Source organism: Homo sapiens, chromosome 2 (genome assembly GCF_000001405.40).
Source record: "Homo sapiens chromosome 2, GRCh38.p14 Primary Assembly".
NCBI lineage: Eukaryota > Metazoa > Chordata > Mammalia > Primates > Hominidae > Homo > Homo sapiens.
Window position 1 is genome coordinate 209748504 of NC_000002.12, and position 9170 is coordinate 209757673.

General features: G+C 42.0%; 2 annotated features.

Annotated features, from left to right (window-relative positions):
- Positions 2922-3479: an enhancer, noted in NCBI's record as "H3K27ac-H3K4me1 hESC enhancer chr2:210616149-210616706 (GRCh37/hg19 assembly coordinates)". NCBI's record gives its function as "activates a minimal SCP1, AML or CMV promoter by ChIP-STARR-seq in primed H9 embryonic stem cells {active_cell/tissue: H9 hESC(primed)}" and the evidence as "EXISTENCE:reporter gene assay evidence [ECO:0000049][PMID:30033119]".
- Positions 3480-4036: an enhancer, noted in NCBI's record as "H3K27ac-H3K4me1 hESC enhancer chr2:210616707-210617263 (GRCh37/hg19 assembly coordinates)". NCBI's record gives its function as "activates a minimal SCP1, AML or CMV promoter by ChIP-STARR-seq in primed H9 embryonic stem cells {active_cell/tissue: H9 hESC(primed)}" and the evidence as "EXISTENCE:reporter gene assay evidence [ECO:0000049][PMID:30033119]".

The following is a 9170-nucleotide window of genomic DNA, read 5'->3' on the forward strand; positions in this document are numbered from 1 at the left end:
CCAGCCTTGCATCCCAGGGATGAAGCCCACTTGATCATGGTGGATAAGCTTTTTGATGTGCTGCTGGATTTGTTTTGCCAGTATTTTATTGAGGATTTTTGCATCAATGTTCATCAAGGATATTGGTCTAAAATTCTCTTTTCTGGTTGTGTCTCTGCCCGGCTTTGGTATCAGAATGATGCTGGCCTCATAAAATGAGTTAGGGAGGATTCCCTCATTTTCTATTGATTGGAATAGTTTCAGAAGGAATGGTACCAGTTCCTCCTTGTACCTCTGGTAGAATTCGGCTGTGAATCCATCTGGTCCTGGACTCTTTTTGGTTGGTAAACTATTGATTATTGCCACAATTTCAGCTCCTATTATTGGTCTATTCAGAGATTCAACTTCTTCCTGGTTTAGTCTTGGGAGAGTGTATGTGTCGAGGAATTTATCCATTTCTTCTAGATTTTCTAGTTTATTTGTGTAGAGGTGTTTGTAGTATTCTCTGATGGTAGTTTGTATTTCTGTGGGATCGGTGGTGATATCCCCTTTATCATTTTTTTATTGTGTCTATTTGATTCTTCTCTCTTTTTTTCTTTATTAGTCTTGCTAGTGGTCTATCAATTTTGTTGATCCTTTCAAAAAACAGCTCCTGGATTCATTAATTTTTTGAAGGGTTTTTTGTGTCTCTATTTCCTTCAGTTCTGCTCTGATTTTAGTTATTTCTTGCCTTCTGCTAGCTTTTGAATGTGTTTGCTCTTGCTTTTCTAGTTCTTTTAATTGTGATGTTAGGGTGTCAATTTTGGATCTTTCCTGCTTTCTCTTGTGGGCATTTAGTGCTATAAATTTCCCTCTACACACTGCTTTGAATACGTCCCAGAGATTCTGGTATGTTGTGTCTTTGTTCTCGTTGGTTTCAAAGAACATCTTTATTTCTGCTTTCATTGCGTTATGTAACCAGTAGTCATTCAGGAGCAGGTTGTTCAGTTTCCATGTAGTTGAGCAGTTTTGAGTGAGATTCTTAATCCTGAGTTCTAGTTTGATTGCACTGTGGTCTGAGAGATAGTTTGTTATAATCTCTGTTCTTTTACATTTGCTGAGGAGAGCTTTACTTCCCAGTATGTGGTCAATTTTGGAATAGGTGTGGTGTGGTGCTGAAAAAAATGTATATTCTGTTGATTTGGGGTGGAGAGTTCTGTAGATGTCTATTAGGTCCGCTTGGTGCAGAGCTGAGTTCAATTCCTAGGTATCCTTGTTGACTTTCTGTCTCGTTGATCTGTCTAATGTTGACAGTGGGGTGTTAAAGTCTCCCATTATTAATGTGTGGGAGTCTAAGTCTCTTTGTAGGTCACTCAGGACTTGCTTTATGAATCTGGGTGCTCCTGTATTCAGTGCATATATATTTAGGATAGTTAGCTCTTCTTGTTGAATTGATCCCTTTACCATTATGTAATGGCCTTCTTTGTCTCTTTTGATCTTTGTTGGTTTAAAGTCTGTTTTATCAGAGACTAGGATTGCAACCCCTGCCTTTTTTTGTTTTCCATTTGCTTGGTAGATCTTCCTCCATCCTTTTATTTTGAGCATATGTGTGTCTCTGTACGTGAGATGGGTTTCCTGAATACAGCACACTGATGGGTCTTGACTCTTTATCCAATTTGCCAGTCTGTGTCTTTTAATTGGAGCATTTAGTCCATTTACATTTAAAGTTAATATTGTTATGTGTGAATTTGATCCTGTCATTATGATGTTAGCTGGTGATTTTGCTCGTTGGTTGATGCAGTTTCTTCCTAGTCTCGATGGTCTTTACATTTTGGCATGATTTTGCAGCGGCTGGTAACGGTTGTTCCTTTCCATGTTTAGCGCTTCCTTCAGGAGCTCTTTTAGGGCAGGCCTGGTGGTGACAAAATCTCTCAGCATTTGCTTGTCTGTAAAGTATTTTATTTCTCCTTCACTTATGAAGCTTAGTTTGGCTGGATATGAAATTCTGGGTTGAAAATTCTTTTCTTTAAGAATGTTGAATATTGGCCCCCACTCTCTTCTGGCTTGTAGGGTTTCTGCCGAGAGATCTGCTGTTAGTATGATGGGCTTCCTTTTGAGGGTAACCCGACCTTTCTCTCTGGCTGCCCTTAACATTTTTTCCTTCATTTCAACTTTGGTGAATCTGACAATTATGTGTCTTGGAGTTGCTCTTCTCGAGGAGTATCTTTGTGGCATTCTCTGTATTTCCTGAATCTGAACGTTGGCCTGCCTTGCTAGATTAGGGAAGTTCTCCTGGATAATATCCTGCAGAGTGTTTTCCAACTTGTTTCCATTCTCCCCATCACTTTCAGGTACACCAATCAGACGTAGATTTGGTCTTTTCACATAGTCCCATATTTCTTGGAGGCTTTGCTCATTTCTTTTTATTCTTTTTTCTCTAAACTTCCTTTCTCGCTTCATTTCATTCATTTCATCTTCCATCGCTGATACCCTTTCTTCCAGTTGATCACATCGGCTCCTGTGGCTTCTGCATTCTTCACGTAGTTCTCGAGCCTTGGTTTTCAGCTCCATCAGTTCCTTTAAGCACTTCTCTGTATTGGTTATTCTAGTTATACATTCTTCTAAATTTTTTTCAAAGTTTTCAACTTCTTTGCCTTTGGTTTGAATGTCCTCCCATAGTTCAGAGTAATTTGATCGTCTGAAGCCTTCTTCTCTCAGCTCGTCAAAGTCATTCTCCATCCAGCTTTGTTCCGTTGCTGGTGAGGAACTGCGTTCCTTTGGAGGAGGAGAGGCGCTCTGCGTTTTAGAGTTTCCAGTTTTTCTGTTCTGTTTTTTCCCCATCTTTGTGGTTTTATCTACTTTTGGTCTTTGATGATGGTGATGTACAGATGGGTTTTTGGTGTGGATGTCCTTTCTGTTTGTTAGTTTTCCTTCTAACAGACAGGACCCTCAGCTGCAGGTCTGTTGGAATACCCTGCCGTGTGAGGTGTCAGTGTGCCCCTGCTGGGGAGTGCCTCCCAGTTAGGCTGCTCGGGGGTCAGGGGTCAGGGACCCACTTGAGGAGGCAGTCTGCCCGTTCTCAGATCTCCAGCTGCGTGCTGGGAGAACCACTGCTCTCTTCCAAGCTGTCAGACAGTGACATTTAAGTCTGCAGAGGTTACTGCTGTCTTTTTGTTTGTCTGTGCCCTTCCCCCAGAGGTGGAGCCTACAGAGGCAGGCAGGCCTCCTTGAGCTGTGGTGGGCTCCACCCAGTTGGAGCTTCCGGGCTGCTTTGTTTACCTAAGCAAGCCTGGGCAATGGCGGGCGCCCCTCCCCCAGCCTCGCTGCCGCCTTGCAGTTTGATCTCAGACTGCTGTGCTAGCAATCAGCGAGACTCCATGGGTGTAGGACCCTCCGAGCCAGGTGCGGGATATAATCTCGTGGTGCGCCGTTTTTTAAGCAGGTCCAAAAAGCGCAATATTCGGGTGGGAGTGACCTGATTTTCCAGGTGCGTCCGTCACCCCTTTCTTTGACTCAGAAAGGGAACTCCCTGACCCCTTGCGCTTCCCAAGTGAGGCAATGCCTCGCCCTGCTTCGGCTCGCGCACGGTGCGCGCACCCACTGACCTGCGCCCACTGTCTGGCACTCCCTAGTGAGATGAACCCGGTACCTCAGATGGAAATGCAGAAATCACCCGTCTTCTGCGTCGCTCACGCTGGGAGCTGTGTACCGGAGCTGTTCCTATTCGGCCATCTTGGCTCCTCCCCCACCAAAAAAAATTTTTTAAAAAACCTATGATTTAGATTAGGGATTTGCAAACTTGGTCTGTGAAAAGCCAGGTAGCAAATATTTCAGATTTCACTCATCGTACCTTCTCTGTCTGCTCAACTCTGCTGTTGTAACATGGAAGCAGCAATAGGCGAAACATAGAGAAATCAGTGTAGCTGTGTTCTAATAAAAATTCATTCATGGACACTGAAATCTGAATTTCATATAATTTTCACATGTCTCAAAATGTATTTTACTTTAATTTTTGTTCATTTAAAAATATAAAAAACATTATTGGCCAGTCATGGTGGCTGATGCCTGTAATCCCAGCACTTAGGGAGGCCAATGCAGGGGGATCACTTGAGCCCAGGCGTTCAAGATCAGCCTGGACAACATGTCGAAAGCTGTCTCTACAAAAAATACAAAAATTAGCCAGGCATGGTGGCTCACACTTTTGGTCCTAGCTACTCAGGAGACTGAGGCCAGAGGATCGCTTGAGCCTGCAAGGTCAAGGTTGTAATGAGCCAAGATCGTGCCCAGCACTCCAGCTTGGGTAACAGCATGAGATCCTGTCAAAAAAAAAGAAAAGAAAAAGAAAAAGTAAATAAAACCATACTCATATGTAAAAACCATCTTTAGCCAACACAAACGATGAACCTCATTTGGCCTAGGCTGTATTGTAATGACTCCTGAGTTGGTTAGATGTAGTGAGATTTCACGTGGTTCATACTCCCTGATTTTTACCTCAGGAAGACAAGGGAAGAGGTAGTAGCATAGATGGAAAGACAACCATTAAAGAGACTGGTACCCTTTACTCTAAATAAAAAGTTATAGCTTTCATGATCGAATGACTTCAAATCCTGGTCTATAATTTACTACCAGTGTAAATTAGCCTTTCCAAACCTCAGGTTTTCCTCAACAATAATGAAGCTAGAATCATCCATATGGTCCCCCTACTTCATGTGGAAGTAGTTAACTTTATTCTTCAGTGTTCTGGAAAACTCACGCATGAGGTGATGCAATAATATATTGGATGCATGTGTGAAAATGGACAGTGAAGCTGATATTTATACATAAGCAGTTATTTTGCATTGCTTTCTTTGCAGCAACAATTAACCTGACGTTCTGGTACTTTGAAGTAATTATTCCCTTGCTTTTGTCTAATGCTTTTAGTTTTATTAAACATTTTCAACCTTTTATTTATTTAAGTCTTAAAATAATCCTCTGGGATATATATTCCTGCCACATTTTATAGAGAGGAAACTGATATGAAGTCATTTCCCAAGATTATGCAGAATACAGCTAGTTAATAAAAGAACTATATGTTGAACACAGATCTTCTAACGTCATGTTCAGGCTTTTTCCTACATCCAGAAGGATTCTTTCACATATGAAAAAACTAGGTAGCTACCTTTTCTGTTGGCCCCCTATCCTGGAGCTGCCACTCATTGCCTGGATCTCACAGAAATTCAAAATGAGTCTGCCCCTCTCTTCATAGCCTCTGCTGTCGTAAATAGTCATGGTTTAGAACATGACTTTTCAACTTTAAACAACTTCGCAGTTTATCAAACTACTAGGGATTCTGTGAGTCAAAAGCAGCTGTAGTATTATAAAATATATCTTTGATCTTTGTCCCTGTTTCCCAACATAAAAATCCTAAAATCCTTGGAATTTCCAAAGTGATGTATATTTTTGTGTGCTCATGAGTTGACAGATGGCTGGCAGTCCCTAGGTAACTTCAGGATAGGGGCTAGTCACAAGAAAGACCGAGGCATGATTAGAGAGTTGAGACTTTTCAGCCCTACCCCTCAACTTCTGGGGAGGTGAGAGGGGCTGAAAGTATTGATCACCAATACCTAGTGACTTAATCAATCATGCTTACATAGTTAAGTGTTCATAAAAGCCCAAAATGACTGTATTCAGAGAGCTTCCAGATAGTTGGACACGTGGAGGTTCCTGGAAGGTAGTGCACCCAGAGAGAGCATGAAACTCTGCATCACTTCCCACTTGCCTTTCCTATGCATCTCCTCCATCTGGTGCTCATCAGTATCCTTTGTAATATCCTTAAAATAAACCAGTAAATTTTAAGTGTTTCCTTGAGTTCTGTCAGCTGCTCTAGCAAATTATTCAAACCCAAGGTGGGGACGGTGGTAGCCTCGATTTATTGCCTTCAATGAGAAGCACAGGGAAAACAATCTGGGGCTTGCAATTGACATCTGAAGTGAGGGGCAGGCTTGTAGAAATGAGCCTTCAACCTGTGGGATCTGATGCTATGTCCAGGAAGATAGTGTCAGAATTGTTTTAAAGTAGAGAATGCTAGCTGGGTTGTGGGGTGTGAGAGTACGGGAAAAACAAACTGTTTGTTTGATTATTTTTTCTAAAGACTAGATTAAACCCTGGGCTGGGCAATTGGAGGTCAAAATGATCAGAGATGAACAGACCCACAGAATGAAGCTGACTCACATGAACAAGGAAGCTGTAGTGAGAACTGCTGCTGTAGTCCATTTAGCATCTTTGTTTCATCCACAGTTCTGTCTCAGTAGGGTCACAGCATAACTTCCATGTTTGTGTGATTTCCTTCCTTATAATACTTCCCTTCCTTTAAGCTAGTCTGAATGGGTCTCTGTTTCTTCCAACCAAATTAGCTCCAAATAAAACATCCTGATTAAGCCATTGAACATTTTTATTTCTTTCGTACAATATGTAAATACCTACATAGGTCCATAAAATTTGGGGGAGGAATACAAGAGTCATTAAATATATTGGAGAAGAGCCAAGATGGCTGACTAGATGCAGCTAAGAGGAGCTTTCCCACCGAGAGACCAGACCAACAAAATCGGCACACTCCAAGCAGATCTTCAGAAGGAAGGTATTGAGAATGGACAGAGGGAGGGTGCAGACCCTGGGGAAGGGGTGAGTTAAACAGGCAAGGAGTGGCCCACTCTCACAATAGACCTCTAGAATCCCAGCTGCAGGAGACCTCACAACCCCCACAGACATTTGAGCTCACAGGGAGATCTGTTTGGAGAGTTGTCAGGGACAGGACTCTAGTCTGCGAGGAGCCCAGAAGGTTTGATGTGGGAAAAGCTGCTGTGAAATATGAGCCCCCAAGGCTCGCCACACTCCTCTAAGTGGTTTTGGCTTTTGTTGACTGTTGGATCTGTCTTGCTTATGAGATGGGTCCAGGATAATCTAAGCACACCCTGTCTGCTGGCCTATCCTGGGTTCCCTCCCTCACCGTGCCTGCTTGCAGCACAGCTTTGGATGCCCAAGTAGGGTGCTTCCCAGTGGCTGCCACCATAGCTTCTTTGTTGGCAGACCCCATCTAACCACTGGAAAGCTTCTGCAGATGGACCTCCCCACCACCACTTTGCTAGTGTGTACTCACCTGCAGCTTTCCCTATCACTTTGCAAGGCACACATATGCATGAGGACCCCGCTACCCCACTGGTGCCTGCACATGCATGCATGCAGACCCCACTGTCACCACCTCAACAAAGCACTTTTGCTAGCACCCCACCATTGCAGTATTGTTGCCAGCAAACCAGCAATAAATACCTAGGACCTTCCAGCACAGCAGGTGCTTAACAGCTCAACACTTTTGGGCTGTGTGCTCTAATCCTGGGGGGCCGGGACAAGTCTCATGGCCACCAAACAAAGCCATGAGCCTGGTCCCGGGCCTCTAGCATTAGAGCACACAGCCCAAAAGTGTTAGGTTGAGCCTTGGCCCCCTGAAATCATCCAGAAATGAAGCCAGTCAATGGAGCCTAACTTATACTACAGTCAAATCCTCAAAGGCATCAAAGAGTGTAACAGCAAAAAGCCCCATCCAAAGGACATCTTCAAAAATTAAAGGAATATCAGCCCACACAGATGAGAAAGAACCAGCACAAGAACTCTGGCAACTCAAAAAGCCAGAGTGTCGTCTTATCTCCAAATTATTGCACTAGCTTTCCAGCAGTGGTTCTTAACCAAGCTGAAATGGTCGAAATGAGAGGCACAGAATTCAAAATCTGTATGGCAATGAAGGTCACTGAGATTCAGAAGAAATGTGAATCCCAATCCAAGGAAACTAAGGAATCCAGTAAAATGATACAGGAACTGAAAGATGAAATAGTCATTTTTAGAAAGAACCAAACTGATCTGATAGAGCTGAAAAACTCACTACCAGAATTTTATAATATAATCAGAAGTATTAACAGCAGAATAGACCAAACTGAGGAAAGAATATGAGAGCTCAAAAACCAGTTCCTCTAATCCACTCAGTCACACAAAAATAAAGAAAAAAGAATAAAAAAGAATGAGCAAAACCTCTTAGATATATGGGATTATGTAAAAAACAAACCTACAACTCATTAGCCTCCCTGAAAGAAAAGGAGAGAGAGCAACCAACTTGGAAAACATATTTGAGGATATTGTCCATGAAAATTTCCTCAACCTCACTAGAGAGGTCTACATTCAAATTCGGGACATTAAGAGGACTCCCTTAAGATACTATACAAGATAACCATCCCTAAGACACATAGTCATCAGATTCTCCAAGGTCGATATAAAAGAAAAATTATTAAAGGCAGCAAGAGAGAAGGGGCAGGTCACCTACAAGGGAACCTCATCAGGCTAACAGCAGACCTTCAGGCAGAAACCCTATAATCCAGAAGAGATTGGGAGCCTATATTTTGCATTCTTGAAGAAAAGAAATTCCAACCAGGAATTTAATATCCAGCCAAATTAAGCTTCATAAGCAAATCCTTTTCAGACAAGCAAATGCTGAGAGTTTGTTACTACCAGACCTACTTTACAAGTCGTCTTTAAGGGAGTGCTAAATATGGAAATGAAAGACCATTACTGACTACCACAAAAACATACTTAAGTACATAGGCCATTAACATTATAAAGCAACTACCACATCAAGTCTATGTAACAACTAGCTAACAGCATAATGACAGGATCAAATTCACACATTTCAATATTAACCTTGAATGTAAATGTGCTAAATATCCATTTAAAAGTCACAGAATGGCAAGCTGGATAAAGAAGCAAGACCCAACTGTATACTATCTGCAAGAGACTCATCTCACATGCAATGACACCAAAGGTTCAAAGAAAAGGGTTGGAGAAAAGTCTATCAAGCAAATAGAAAACAAAAAAAGAGCAGGGGTTGTTATTCTGATTTCAGACAAAACAAACTTTAAACCAGCAGGGATCAAAAAGGACAAAGAAGGGCATTACATAATAATAAAGGGTTCAATTCAACAAGACTCAACAACACTAAATACATATGCACCTAACACTGGAGCACCCAGACTCATAAAACAAGTTCTTAGAGACCTACAAAGAGACTTAGATAACCACACAATAATAGTGGGAGGCTTTAACACCCGACTAACAGTATTAGATCAAGGCAGAAAACTAACAAAAATATTCAGGACTTAAATTTGACACTTTACCAAATGAACCTAAAAGAC